The sequence below is a fragment of the Homo sapiens genome, chromosome 10, assembly GCF_000001405.40.
Source record: "Homo sapiens chromosome 10, GRCh38.p14 Primary Assembly".
NCBI lineage: Eukaryota > Metazoa > Chordata > Mammalia > Primates > Hominidae > Homo > Homo sapiens.
In genome coordinates, this window is record NC_000010.11 from 103,276,177 (window position 1) to 103,290,690 (window position 14,514).

At 46.9% G+C, this 14,514-nt stretch overlaps 1 protein-coding gene across 1 annotated transcript, besides 1 other annotated feature; it reads left to right on the forward strand.

Annotated features, from left to right (window-relative positions):
* Nucleotides 962-14,170, forward strand: INA (internexin neuronal intermediate filament protein alpha). Its single transcript, NM_032727.4, has 3 exons — nucleotides 962-2,100; nucleotides 10,859-10,983; nucleotides 12,184-14,170. Exons 1-3 carry the CDS (start codon nucleotides 1,036-1,038, stop codon nucleotides 12,491-12,493), a joined length of 1,500 nt encoding a protein of 499 aa, NP_116116.1. The 5' UTR covers nucleotides 962-1,035; the 3' UTR covers nucleotides 12,494-14,170.
* Nucleotides 1,377-1,981: an enhancer, noted in NCBI's record as "H3K27ac-H3K4me1 hESC enhancer chr10:105037310-105037914 (GRCh37/hg19 assembly coordinates)". NCBI's record gives its function as "activates a minimal SCP1, AML or CMV promoter by ChIP-STARR-seq in primed H9 embryonic stem cells {active_cell/tissue: H9 hESC(primed)}" and the evidence as "EXISTENCE:reporter gene assay evidence [ECO:0000049][PMID:30033119]".

Here is a 14,514-nt window from a genome sequence, read left to right on the forward strand (position 1 = left end):
GAGAGCACACTTCTTATACAAATGGCAAGGGCAACTCACCTCTGCCACTGTGGGCATCCCAGCTCTTCCCATTTTCAGAAGAAGCCAGAAATCCAATTTCTTTACAGGTGAAATCTCCTGGTTTAAAAATGCTCCTTTCGAAATATTTTAAAATATAATGCTCTAAACACAAAAGTCTGCAGCCCCCTTTCCAGCAGCTTGTGGTCCTGGCCTGTGCCATGCTTTAGTGCCCTAACGATGAGCCCCAGCAATTCCCAGCGCCTCCTGCTTCTCCAAGTCTGGCCTCTTTTCCCCTCTGTACCGCCGCTTCTCCCCACTCTCCGCAGCTCGGGGTCACTTTCTTTACTGATCTCCCCTCTCTTCTGGGAGAGGCACTTGCTGAACATCTTTCCGCCCGGAGCCTCCCCAGGAGCTGCAGAGGGGCAGCTGGAGAGATGCTTTCTGACGTAGCATCTCCCACCTTTCTCCTTGGGGACCCTGAGGAAGGGGACAAGGGCTCGCTCTGCAGGTCCTCACTGTAACTGGAAAAACACGACCTCGCCCTCGGGAAGGCTTTCTGTGCGCCTCACCTCAGGATGAGGGTGGGTGTAGGGGACACCTCCCAGAAACCCCTAACCTCCCAGTCGGTTAAAGAAGAGGGGATAGGGTCAAGGGATGCGACAGAGCTGTGTGGTTTCCGGATGGGAAACCTCAGTCGTTTAGGCACCCCTCCGCTCGAGTCACTTCCGAAGCAGTCGATTCTTGGGGAGAAGCGCTGCGGAAAGGGGCGACTCCGATGCAGATGGCCCTGTCCCGGCGCCCCAGGTCGTCGCGCGCGCAGCTGCGGTAGTCACTGCGCCTCCCCGCCCCCACTCCTGGATGCCCCCCTTCCCTCTCCCGGCCAGACTCTGAGCAGGAGCTCCGCCCCCAGCGCGCCGCCCCAGCCCCGGCGCCTTAAAAGCCGGGCGCACCGCCCCGCCGCGCCCTGCCTGCCGCACCTCTCCTTTCTTCTGTAGCTCGCGTTGAAGCCGCACGTCCGGCCCCGATCCCGGCACCATGAGCTTCGGCTCGGAGCACTACCTGTGCTCCTCCTCCTCCTACCGCAAGGTGTTCGGGGATGGCTCTCGCCTGTCCGCCCGCCTCTCTGGGGCCGGCGGCGCGGGCGGCTTCCGCTCGCAGTCGCTGTCCCGCAGCAATGTGGCCTCCTCGGCCGCCTGCTCCTCGGCCTCGTCGCTCGGCCTCGGCCTGGCCTATCGCCGGCCGCCGGCGTCCGACGGGCTGGACCTGAGCCAGGCGGCGGCGCGCACCAACGAGTACAAGATCATCCGCACCAACGAGAAGGAGCAGCTGCAGGGCCTCAACGACCGCTTCGCCGTGTTCATCGAGAAGGTGCATCAGCTGGAGACGCAGAACCGCGCGTTGGAGGCCGAGCTGGCCGCGCTGCGACAGCGCCACGCTGAGCCGTCGCGCGTCGGCGAGCTCTTCCAGCGCGAGCTGCGCGACCTGCGCGCGCAGCTGGAGGAGGCCAGCTCGGCTCGCTCGCAGGCCCTGCTGGAGCGCGACGGGCTGGCGGAGGAGGTGCAGCGGCTGCGGGCGCGCTGCGAGGAGGAGAGCCGCGGACGCGAAGGCGCCGAGCGCGCCCTGAAGGCGCAGCAGCGCGACGTGGACGGCGCCACGCTGGCCCGCCTGGACCTGGAGAAGAAGGTGGAGTCGCTGCTGGACGAGCTGGCCTTCGTACGCCAGGTGCACGACGAGGAGGTAGCCGAGCTGCTGGCCACGCTGCAGGCGTCGTCGCAGGCCGCGGCCGAGGTGGACGTGACTGTGGCTAAACCAGACCTGACCTCGGCTCTGAGGGAGATCCGCGCCCAGTATGAGTCCCTGGCCGCTAAGAACCTGCAGTCCGCGGAAGAATGGTACAAGTCCAAGTTTGCCAACCTGAACGAGCAGGCGGCGCGCAGCACCGAGGCCATCCGGGCCAGCCGCGAGGAGATCCACGAGTATCGGCGCCAGCTGCAGGCGCGCACCATCGAGATCGAGGGCCTGCGCGGGGCCAACGAGTCCTTGGAGAGGCAGATCCTGGAGCTGGAGGAGCGGCACAGTGCCGAGGTAGCTGGCTACCAGGTAAGGGCCGGGGCTGGGCGTGGGGAGGGGTGCCCTGCCCTCTTCCGCGCGTACCCTCTTCCTCTGGTAAAACTGGGCCCCAGGACTTAAGGGGAGGGCAAAAGAGAGGAGAGAAGAGCCGCGGCTGGAGGCGCTGGTTAACAAAAAACCCTGGAGTCTTTAATGTTAATTTTAGGGAACGCCCCTCATTTATGTCCCTGCCCCAGCCCTTCAAACAAAGAAGCCCTTAAATTTATTTGAGGTTCGAAAACCCAACTCTGCCTGTCTGTCAGCAAGCGGGCCTACACACACCGGCGACCCGGAGAACAGTGCCCCACCCAAAGTAAGACTGAGCCCAACGGGGCAGGTTACGTGGGCGGTGCTGTCTCGGCTATCTGGCTTGTTTGGTTGACTTTGAAAAGCTTTCTGTGCGCCCTAGAAGTTATTTATGGAGTATGGTCTGCTTCAGGGCTGAAGGAAGAATGCGATCCTGAACTGGGAAGAGTCCTATCCCATTTTCTTGACTTTCGCGCTCCAAAAAGTAGAGATTGGGAGCCAACAAGCTGAGCGATGCTTGAGCTAGTAGTAACCACCCTGCTCTACCCACCTCCCCAACACACACACACACACGATTCCCTTGTCCACCAGCACACACACACACACACACACACACACACACGATTCCCTTGTCCACCAGCTGACATTTCCTCCTTAAGAAAGCGTTCGCCGGTTGGCAAAACGTGAAAGGTCGGGGCGCTGTCCACGGTGCTGATCTCGAGTTCTTCCCATCTCAGAAATTATGTCTCTCCTGTCTCGTGTCCCAGTTATGAATCTCTAGGCAATTAACTGCTTTGATTTTTTTTTTCCTGCAACACCAACACATCAGTCTTGGCTACCTGCAATCAAAGGTCACCTCATAGACAACATCAGTTTTGGCTTTCATGGATGGCTTAGCACTAAACAAAAAACACTTAATTTGCTCAGCAGCTGTGAGGTCCCACTTGAAAATTCCTGTTTTGTTAGTATTTTTTTCATTGTAAGTGCATGTGATAAGTCACAGAGATGGTTTTTCTTTGTTCTAGTGTATGTATTTTTTCCATATTTCCCTGTCCTCTAAGCTCCTGTGATGGTATTGATTGGCTATTTCTTCCCAACAAAGGCCACTGTGTCTTCAGTTTTACTATATAAGAAATTCTGGGATTATGACCGCAAATGGCACAGAGGCAGGGGACAGGGTAAATGGAAGGTGTAGAAAAGAATTGGAATAGTGTGGTTCGGTTTCAAGGTACAATAAAAGCTCCTTTGAATAGAATGACTATAATTCAGAAACTTGCAATAATTCTAGCTAGGATTAAAGTTTACATTTGGTGAGATTAATAGGGCTTGGAACATTGGTAAAATAGAACCAAGAAAGGAATGAAATCTCAAAAGTAACATTTTAATCAGAAGCTAAAGAATTCTTATTGATGTGCAGGTATTTGCTGTTTGTTACAATAACTTCCTTTGATAAAGGAAAAAAGCCTGCTTGGACTGTTTAGGTTAGTTTGGTATTGCATTATCATTCAAATAAGTACTTCCATTTCTGCCTCAAAATCCATAACTTGAACTTTTCATTATGTACCCTAACCCCTGGATGGCCTGAATTAATCACATTTGGCTAATTGAGACTTCATTTTTTTCTTCTAGAAGCCTCCAAGTACGAGCTAGGTGGTCTTCTGGAGGGCTAGCCCAGTATTTCTACAAAAAAAGGATAACTTACTCAGAGCTGCCAGCTGAATTGGGCTTCTCCATTTTCTCTGCTTGTTATAGCCCATACATTCTAAGAAGTAGTGACAGTTTTGCCTGGCTTGTTTGCTGTAAAAGGCTTTCATCATTAGACAATGGTAGCGTCATCCAGACATGGTCTACAGGAAACAAACAAAAAACAACAACAGAGAAACTGCAGCATCTGCAGCTCTGCGGTGCTGCCCCCATCAGCTTGAGCCTTTAGAGCCACAGAGGACCTGCTGATGGGAGTGGAAGAGGAGGTCAGACAACAGAGAGCTGGTTCCCTACTCCTTGGGACCTAAGGCTAAGGTGGAGCTCAAGTCTTACCTGCAGATCCTAACGGCCTGATGCCACAAGGGTGTCTCTGACTGTTCTAACAATCTTAGCAGTGCTGACCAAGGTGAAAAGCCTCCCTTTCTACAGTGAGATTTAGCCATTGTTTTCTTGCCCTCTCATCTCATCCCCACCTTTCACTGCAGTAATGGGAGGCTGTTCTCCTTCTTCTGCTACAGAGATTAGTGGTAGGGCCATTTTTCTTTTCAAACTTGGCACCCTCTATGAAACATAGGAAGGCCCCATTAAAGTCCCATCTTCTCTGCCCCAGATAGCTGATAGCCTATTTAAGGAGAGAAAGCTTCTTACACTTTTGAAAGGGTAAAAAATGATTCACGGTGACACAGTAAGTACACAATAGTGGATGAGAGAGTCTGAATCAGGCAAGAGAAGAGATTAGGAAGAGCTAAGGCTATTGTCTTCAAAAGCCAAATGCAACTCCCCTCTGCATAAAAAGCTGATGGGGTTTCCATTTCTGACATAGGGCAATGCTGGTGCCTACATAGCCACTTCGGCACCATTAGAGTCCTAGTTCTGTTAAAGATGTCCAAAGACATTCTTGGAGGGTACTCAGGGTCTCAGACCTCTACTGTGGTCAGTCTTGGAAAGTTGAAGCTTTCCTTGAAAGACCTTGCTGAATGATCAAGATCACCGCAGGTTAATGCTCTCCAGGGAGACAAGCCAAGTCTTCTCTTTTTTCTCCATTATGAGATTGGAGTACAGCCTAATTAAATAGCAGGAAGGGGCTGGCCCCTTGGAGACTGGAGGTGACAGTGGCTGCATATAAATCCATAGCTTGATAGATCCATTTCTAAAATTAGCTACATTTGATCTTTTTTAAGCTCTTCCACCTGGTTTTTGTTTCATTTTGTTTTGTTTGCCCCTCCCTATCTTACTGTATTACTGTCACCTGGGCTACCATGATAGCATCTTTATAGAAAAAAATTTAAACTAGTGGATCCTAAACCCAGTGACACTCTAAGGTCAATTGGGGGCTTAAAAAAATTATCAGGCCCACTCCCAAAGATATGGATTCAGCAGTTCACAGGTAGGGCCCGGGAATATGCATTTTTCAATAAAAGTGCTGCATCCTGTTGGTCCTCAGACTGACTTTGGAGTACATTGATCTAAACCACTTCTTCCAGTAAAGTAGTTTACGGAGATACGTATAATACAGGATTTTCGAGTGTGGTGGAGGAAAGAAAAAGATGGGGACAAAGGAAAGGTAGGAGTGAGAATAAAGCACGCATGGTGAACCACAAATAAAAATCCTCCGTCCCCACTCAAGTTGATTATGCAGAGCAGTAATTCTAAATAGCCTCTTTCAATCAGACTGTGGGGCACTCACTACTGCCTCCCTGACCCAGGGCCCCCAAACGTGCTGAAATCCACAGCTCTGTCGTTCTTCTTCACCACTGCAGATGTTAGTGTGGCCATTCATTTCTCTTACTCCACCCGGCATCCTTCCAGCCACGGGCTGCGATGCTCAGACGAGCTAAGACGATGCTCAGCGTTTGTCTTAGCTCCTCCAGGAGAGACCCCAGCTGGAGCTGGGCGTGCCGCTCTCCGGTTCCCTCAGGCTAAGCCGGCAGCAGCTGCGTGGTTGGGGGAGGGGACAGACTGCAGCGCTCTGCTCAGATCTCGAGCTGGAGGCCATCTTTGGCAGGGCTTCTGAAGGGCAATGCAAGACACAGCCTGATGTGGGGAGGAGAGCACAAACAAAGAGACCAGACATTGAAGAGCAATCAATGGTCAGAACACAGCACACTTCCTTCTGAAAGGAGCAAAGTTGTGCTTTTCTCTACAGTGATCTGTAAAATAGATATATGAAATCTGCAACATAGAAGTTCAAGGAAATCTCATCTGTCTAGAACTCAGCTCCCCAACCACCTCTTATTCAGAAAACACAGCTGTGAAACAAAAATAATGTTTTAAGCAAGGACCTAATTAACCTGCTGATGAGACATATCATCTATCTCTAAGCCAAACATTAGGAACTTGGCACCTCTACTGCCCCCAGCCTATTCATTCTTAACACGATTTCAAAATGCTTTTTTATTTGGTTTCAAGACTGCAGCAAGATGGAGAATGGGGACCACTGGAGTCAGGCATTGTTAAGAATGAGCAGCAGCAGATCCGTTCATCTTTCAGAACAAAGAAAATCAATGAGCATCAACACTAATCCAAACACCGCACTTTGGGGCCATTTAGGGTAGAATTAAACAGCCTGATATACCTCGAATGACCTAAAAGATGTCACCGAATTATTTTTAAAATTGATTATTATCATGACCCTTAATTGCTGTGGAAGGTGGCATTATGTTTAGTGTCCTGATTGTGAGTGGTATAAGCCACTTTAGAAAGGCTTTTTATTCAAAATTGTTATTAAAAAAAAAAATCTGGTGCTTTAAGGTATATGCCTCCAACTATCCAATATTAAAGTGTTGTTATATGTTACTTTTCGTAGTTATCTAAGGGGTTGGTAATAGTGAGGGCTTGTGATTAATTTGTCTATATCATCAAAAGGATAGAGGGCCATGTGGTATGATATTATCAAGAATAAAAATCACTAACATTTATTGAGTTCTTCCTGTGTGCCATGCTGTTCTGATGCCTACTAATTTAACAGATAATGGACTCATCATATATTAATGTATATGTGAGATATATTAAATTGAAATCCTAATTTGAGGATCTCAGAACACCTTAGAAAAAGAGTAAACATAACTTTCCGTATGCAGAAGTAGAAGATTGGAAGGAACTAAAATGTAGAAAACTGGCTGAGGTCCAATGGATGTTAGTGGCAGAGCAAAAACTGCAACCCAAGTTCCTGATGAAATCCTCCTCTTATCTTCATATAGCATTCCTCCTCCTTCTTTGCATAATCATATTTTCTTCTTTCTCCTTTTTCCCTCACTCTAGACTCTTTTCCCTCTTACCACAGTAATATTGATTCTCTTGTCAGTAGCTAGAGGGTCTATGTCAGTGATTCTATGTCAGTAGCAGAATTGATTATAACCTCAAATAGGAACTATCAGGTAAAATTTCTTGGTAAAAATCTCTTTAAGGCCTCATGATCTCTTAACACACTTTGAAATATATGCATCACGGTCCAGTATAATACGTATTTTTCCTACTGACTGTCATTCCTTGTTCTGTACCCATCAGTCAATTGAGACTCCTCTTTGCAGTATTCCTGTCAATATTTATAGAACAGGTAGGTGGTATGAATTTTAATTCTGCAAATTCTCTTGATTTGGAAGTTTGTACCCCCTGATGTCTCAGCCCTACCTTTCACCATTGCTTTATCATTCTCACACAAGGGGAGTTTCAAGGGCCTGTCAACACTTACTTTCTTGAGGTTTCTGATATGTTTATCTGCATCACTGTTTCTTTTTTTTTTTTTTTTTTTGAGATGGAGTTTTGCTCTTGTTGCCCAGGCTGGAGTGCAATGGCACGATCTCAGCTCACTGCAACCTCTGCCTCCCAGGTTCAAGTGATTCTCCTACCTCAGCCTCCAGAGTAGCTGGGATTACAGGCACACGCCACCACGCCCAGCTAATTTTTGTATTTTTAGTAGAGACCATAGTTTCACCATGTTGGCCAGCATAGTCTCAGTCTCTTGATTGACCTGAACTCCTGACCTCAGGTGATCCACCCGCCTCAGCCTCCCAAAGTGCTGGGATTACAGGCATGAGCCACCATGCCCGGCCCTGCATGACTGTTTCTTAAAAATAACCCCCAATCATTGTGTCTTTTTTTTTTTTTTTAAGACGGGGTCTTGCTGTGTCGCCCAGGCTGGAGCACAGTGGCGCCATCATAGCTCACTTCAACCTCCGCCTACCGGGCTCGAGCAATTCTCTCAGCTCAGCCTCAAGTGATTCGCCTGCCTCAGCTACCCAAAGTGCTGGGATGCCCTAGAGATGTTTTCTTGTTATCGCAACTGGGAGAGGGAAGTATGTGCTTCTGGCATCTAGCCAGGGATGTTACTAAATATCCCGCATTTCACAATAACAAATAATTAGCCAGCCTAAAACATCAACACTGCCAAAGTTGTAAAACTCTGTTATAGAGGAAAGCAACAGAAAATAAACTAGTATAAACCAGTAAATTGCCGGGGCCGGACACTGTGACTCATGCCTGTTATCCCAGCACTTTGGGAGGCTGAGGCGGGCGGATCACGAGGTTAGGAGTTCAAGACCAGCCTGGCCAACATGGTGAAACCCCATCTCTACTAAAAATACAAAAATTAGCCAGGTGTGGTGGTGCACACCTGTAATCCCAGCTACTCAGGAGGCTGAGGCAGGAGAATTACTTGAACCCAGGTGGTGGAGGTTGCAGTGAGCTGAGATTGCGCCACTGCACTCCAGCCTGGGTAACAGAGCAAGACTCCATCTCGGAAAAAAAAAAAAAGAAGAAGATAATTTCATATAATGGTAAGAGCTGAGAGCAGGGTGGCTGCATTCAACTGAGTGCTTTTTTTCTAATTTGCACAAGGTTCCTGCATGGGCCAGTAGCTGCTCTGGCTTAAGGTAAAATAAAGTGCTGGGTTGGTCGAGGATGGATACTTAAATTGGATGCAAATGAAGACCTGTCTGAGGAGAGGACATTATATTTTATTTTATTTTATTTTATTTTATTTTTTGAGATGGAGTTTCATTCTTGTTGTCCAGGCTGGAGTGCAATGGCACGATCTCGGCTCACTGCAACCTCCGCCTCCCAGATTCAAACAATTCTCCTGCTTCAGCCTCCCTAGTAGCTGGGATTATAGGCATGCACCACCACGCCCGGCTAATTTTTGTATTTTTAGTAGAGACAGAGTTTCTCCATATTGGTCTGGCTGGTCTCGAACTCCCAACCCCAGGTGATCCTCCCGCCTCAGCCTCCCAAAGTGCTGGGATTACAGGCATGAGCCATCGTGCCTGGCAGGAGAGGACATTTGAACTGAATCTTTTTTGAGACAGAGTTTTGCTCTTGTTGCCCAAGCTGGAGTGCGGTGGTACGATCTCAGCTCACTGCAACCTCTGCCTTCCAGATTCAAGCGATTCTCCTGCCTCAGCCTCCCAAGTAGGTGGGATTACAGGCGCTTGCCACTGCACACAGCTAATTTTTGTACTTTTAGTAGAGACGGGGTTTCTCCTTGTTGGTCTGGCTGGTCTCGAACTCCCGACTCCAGGTGATCCTCCTACCTCAGCCTCCCAAAGTGCTGGGATTACAGGCATGAGCCATCATGCCTGGCAGGAGAGGACATTTGAACTGAATCTTTTTTTTTTTTTTTTTGAGATGGAGTTTCGCTCTTGTTGCCCAGCTGGAATGCAGTGGCGCGATCTCGTCTCACTGCAACCTCCCCCTCCTGGGTTCAAGCGATTCTCCTGCCTCAGCCTCCCAAGTAGCTGGGATTACAGGTGCATGCCACTGCACCCAGCTAATTTTTGTATTTTTAGTAGAGACGGAGTTTTGCCATGTTAGCCAGGCTAGTCTTGAACTCCTGATCTCAGGTGATCTGCCTGCCTCAGCCTCCCAAAGTGCTAGGATTACAGGTGTGAGCCACCACACCCGGGTGAACTGAATCTTCTATGACAAGGAGTCGGCCATGTAAAGACCGGCATTTTAGATAGAGGAAATAACAAGCCTGAAGGGCCTGGGACAGCAATGAACTTGGTATAGTTAAGGAGTAAAAGAAAAGACCAGGCTGGGCATGGTGGCTCATACATGTAATCTAAGCACTTTAGGAGGTAAAGGCAGGAGTGTCTCTTGAGGCCAGGAGTTCAAGACCAGCCTGGACAACATAATGAGACCTCATCTTTACAAAACAAAAATCTTTTTTAACTAGCCAGGCATGGTAGTGTACACCTGTTAGTCCCAACTGCTTGGGAGGCTGAGACAGGAAGATCGCTTGAGCCCAGGAATTTTGAGGCTGCAGTGAGCTGTGATCACACCACTGTACTCCAGCCTAGGCAACAGAGCAAGACCTTGTCTCAAAAAAAAAAAAAAAAAAAAAAAAAGAATTCCTTCTGGCTGCTCAAGGACTATAAATATATAAATATAAAGCGATTTCTCTTCCATGCCTCGGTGTTTTAAAAATTCTGTGGAGTATTTCTGCTTTCTCCTTACCTATAATGTAAAATGCTCTCAGTAAAGTGACTGATTAGCAGGCTTCTAGGAAATCATCAAAATGAATGGAGGCAGAGAGGTCTTCCTGGAAAGCTCTCTGTGCTTTCCACATTCGGAATTTTCTGAATCTAAGCTGCTAACCTGAGGCTTTGGGTTTTGGAAAGCACATGCTACAACAGAGTTATTTAGCAGCAACACAACAAGCAAGGGAGGGATGGTAAGTGTAAAAAAAAAAAAAATCATCTCCATGTTCAGTTCAGAACTATATGCCGTGTGGCTATCCTGAAAAGGGCAGGTGTTCACTTGCCCTCTGGGTAAAAGTTCCCAGTCCTCACCATGAGTCCAAATCTCCTGGGGACCTTTATGAAAAAAATGCAAATGCTGGGACCCCACCCCAGAACCAGTGAATCTGGATCTGGACTCAGGGACAGACCTGGATATAAGCAAGTTATAAGTTCATTAGATGATTTTAATGTGTAGTCAGGGCTGGGAATCCTTGCCTTCTGGAAATCTTGAGGAATTTCAGCTGGTTTGGCCTAACTATTTTGGATATGTTACTTTTCAGGATAGCATTGGGCAGCTGGAGAATGATCTGAGGAACACCAAGAGTGAGATGGCACGCCACCTTCGGGAATACCAGGACTTGCTCAATGTCAAAATGGCTCTTGACATTGAGATAGCAGCTTACAGGTACTGCAAAGGACCTGCTTACCCGAGTAAATCCAGTCACCTAGGGGCAATGCTGCCCAAATAAGTGGATCTAGTCTCTCTGGCTTCTGACTGGTGAGGGAGGGAAGAAGGGCATCACTGGCCCCTTTCAGGTGAGCTGACTGCTCTGTCCCTCTACTTAGATATAATCCAGCTCCATCTGACTAGTCCCAGAGTATTCTGTGTACCTCTGAAAGGATTTAAGGGGATAATGTGAGTACACAGAGGTTAAAATAAAAACCCATGAGACTCGTAACTTTAAAAATAGGGTTTGGGGCCAAGTGCAGTAGCTCACTCCTATAATCCCAGCACTTTGGGAGGCCAAGGTGGGTGGATCACTTGAGATCAGGAGTTCAAGACCAGCCTGGCCAACATGGTGAAACCCAGTCTCTACTAAAAACACAAAAATTGGCCAGGCGTGGTGGCACACACCTGCAGTCCCAGCTACTCTGGAGGCTGAGGCAAGAGAATCGCTTGAACCTGGGAGGTGGAGGTTGCAGTGAGCTGTGATCATGTCACTGCACTCCAGCCTGGGAGACAGTGAGACTCTGTCTAAAAAAAAAAAAAAAAAAAAAGGATAATTAAAAACTATTAAGAGTTATGAGAAACATGGTTTGGGGCCACTCTTTTATAAGACTGTTTTCGTCACGCTGATAAAAATCTGTTATCTGAAACAGTGTCATTCACTGGTTTTTGTTATTGCTGGTTCTATTCCCTTTGTACCCGTATACACTGAAAAAGTACAAATCTCAAATCCAGGTTGAGTAAGACAGTTTCTACCACCTTTGTGGACATCTCACCTCCTTATCCCTATTGCAGCTAAGGTGTTACTTAGGAAAAGTACTTCTCCCTAGAGCTTTGTTGCTAATTGCCAAAAATGGGTGTGATGTGGCCAAGTGGAGTTGCAGGTTTTCCTCCTGGAATATATTTGTGAACAGGATAGGTTTTCCTTTGACAATGCTTTAAACATAGCTGGTGCTGAAGGGGGGTGTGTGTGTGCGCATGCGTATGCACGTGGTCCAACCCTTTGAGCTTTGAAATTAAATATTTATTGGTTTCAATCTCATGAAGAAACTCCAAAGTCCTTTGGAATCTCTCTCAAATGAATCAGGATTGGAGGGTTGAGTTCTGGGGGGGAAAAGTTATTGACTTCCTAAGAGTTTTTCTCTGTTGAATTTACAGGAAACTGCTGGAAGGCGAGGAGACACGTTTTAGCACCAGTGGGTTAAGCATTTCGGGGCTGAATCCACTTCCCAATCCAAGTTACCTGCTCCCACCTAGAATCCTCAGTGCTACAACCTCCAAAGTCTCATCCACTGGGCTATCACTTAAGAAAGAGGAGGAGGAGGAGGAGGCATCTAAGGTAGCCTCTAAGAAAACCTCCCAGATAGGGGAAAGTTTTGAAGAAATATTAGAGGAGACAGTAATATCTACTAAGAAAACCGAGAAATCAAATATAGAAGAAACCACCATTTCAAGCCAAAAAATATAATTCCATTGCTTTGAAAAAGTTAATGCTTAAGAGGGAATGATATGCATTTGACTTGTTAAACAGCCTATTCCTGAACTATAACACCTGCCACCACTATAAAATGTCTTCAAGGCTTCAGTCTCATATTTAGTATTGAATACTTACATTCTCTAATAAGAAAACCACCCCTTAGATTGAAGTAAACTGCAGTCCTGGAGCAATCACAGATGAGTTATCTAAGAATACAGCTTTCTGACCTTCAGCTCACGCTTCACAGTGATCGATGATTCAGGTGCAGAGGAAGTACAAACTAAGGTGCTAAATCTGCGATCATCGTCATTTGCTGTGAACTGAAATTAAAACTATTCATGCTACCCAGCCATTACCCAGCTAAATAATCTTACTCTAGATACCTAAAACATAAGATCACTGCCAGAGATAAACTAATGGTCCACACCCAATTCCACTCTGATAGAATTATTTCACAAATAATAGGTGTTTGTTTAATGGACACTTTTCACCTCCTTCAATTCCATATATCCTTTTCTTCTATGTAGGAAAAAAATAGTCTAGTGTAGTATTCTTCCCTTTTAAACACATTTTGGTTCTTCTCAAAAGAACTTACCCCCATTCGCGCTCTGCTCAGTGGGTAAAATTAGATGCATGTTGACCATGTCTATGATTCGTGTAATTACTTATCCCTGCCCATTTCATATTCTTTCAATTCTGTAGGTTAAAAAAATGGCAGTGATGAATTTTAAGGGTTTCCCCCAACATATAAAATAATGCAAAGAATCCCTAGACTTTAGGCTTTCAGCTTACACAAATCTATTTAATTAGGAAAAAAACTATTAAGGATGTAGCTTTTCACCTTTACTTTAGAAGCACAGTAAATATCCCAAACTGTGATGAAGCCGACCTTAGATTTAGTAGTGTAAGCTAGAAGAAGTGAGTGTTTCTATGAGTGGAAAAAGCCAAGGTGTCATTTATGTGTCAGTTCATTTGTGGTGATATAGAATTAGCTTTTTCATCCCCTTACCCTTAGAATCCACGTATTCCCCTTCCCACTAGCCTAGGTCATAAAGAGGCGTTGCTTTCACTCTCCTATGCCTTTTACGAGTGCTAAGTGTAGGATATTTTGTCACCAGAACACAATGCTACCGCCCCAAAGTAAAAGAAACCACTTCTGGTCAATCAACACTACCAGCGTATATATAAGAAAGACATCTTTCTCTTTTCTAAAAGACTTCCCTAACACTTACCCCATGGCTGCACAGTTGGTGGGGTCCTGCCGGAGAGGAAGAGACACTCAGACCAGAGAAGGGGTGTGCATGCGCCTACTCGCTTGCTAGAAGTAGATTCTGGACAGTCAGCTCTTCATCTGCCCAACTGTGTAGCATCTGCATTGCCCAGTCTTTCATGTGTGCCAAGGCTGATGCAGGATTTGTTCTCTGTCCAGCAGTCACTTCGGCCAGAGCTGAAGAGTTGCCCCGTCTCTGTTCCATGTCTCCTTTAAGAGCTCTGGTGATAAGGACATGATGCTTTTACTGAACTTTCTTATCCTAGCACATGCTTCAATAGTTCAAGGAACTTGAAAAATACTTTTCCTTACCTTTACCCCATCCCTGTCTTTACTCCTCACACTTACTGTAAGACATTAGTAACATAATAAATTAAAAGTCACACGAATCTCACCAACATAATTCGTGTTCTGTGGTTCCTGCCCTTTCACTGAGAGAAGCACTGTTTGGGTTCAGAGTCAGTCTGGCTCTGACTGATTTGTATCTTCTCTTTTTAGTGAGCCACCTTAATTGCCATGAACTTATTTATAGAAGAAAGATATTGGCCAAGCGTGGTGGCTCATGCCTGGAATCCCAACACTTTGGGAGGCCAAGGTGGGGGTGGTGGGGCAGATGGCCTGATCCCAGGAGTTCGAGACCAGCCTGGGCAACATAGGGAGACCTCATCTCTCAAAAAAATACAAAAATTAGCCAACTGTGGTGGCTCCTGTAGTCCCAGCTACTGGGGAGCTGAGGTGGGAG

Bases quoted from the DNA above. Each gene is read 5' to 3' on its own strand.
- INA (NM_032727.4), top strand. From the start codon at position 1,036: ATGAGCTTCGGCTCGGAGCACTACCTGTGCTCCTCCTCCTCCTACCGC. The intron at 2,101-10,858 runs GTAAGGGCCGGG...GTTACTTTTCAG, and splicing joins CCGAGGTAGCTGGCTACCAG to GATAGCATTGGGCAGCTGGA. The intron at 10,984-12,183 runs GTACTGCAAAGG...TTGAATTTACAG, and splicing joins ATTGAGATAGCAGCTTACAG to GAAACTGCTGGAAGGCGAGG.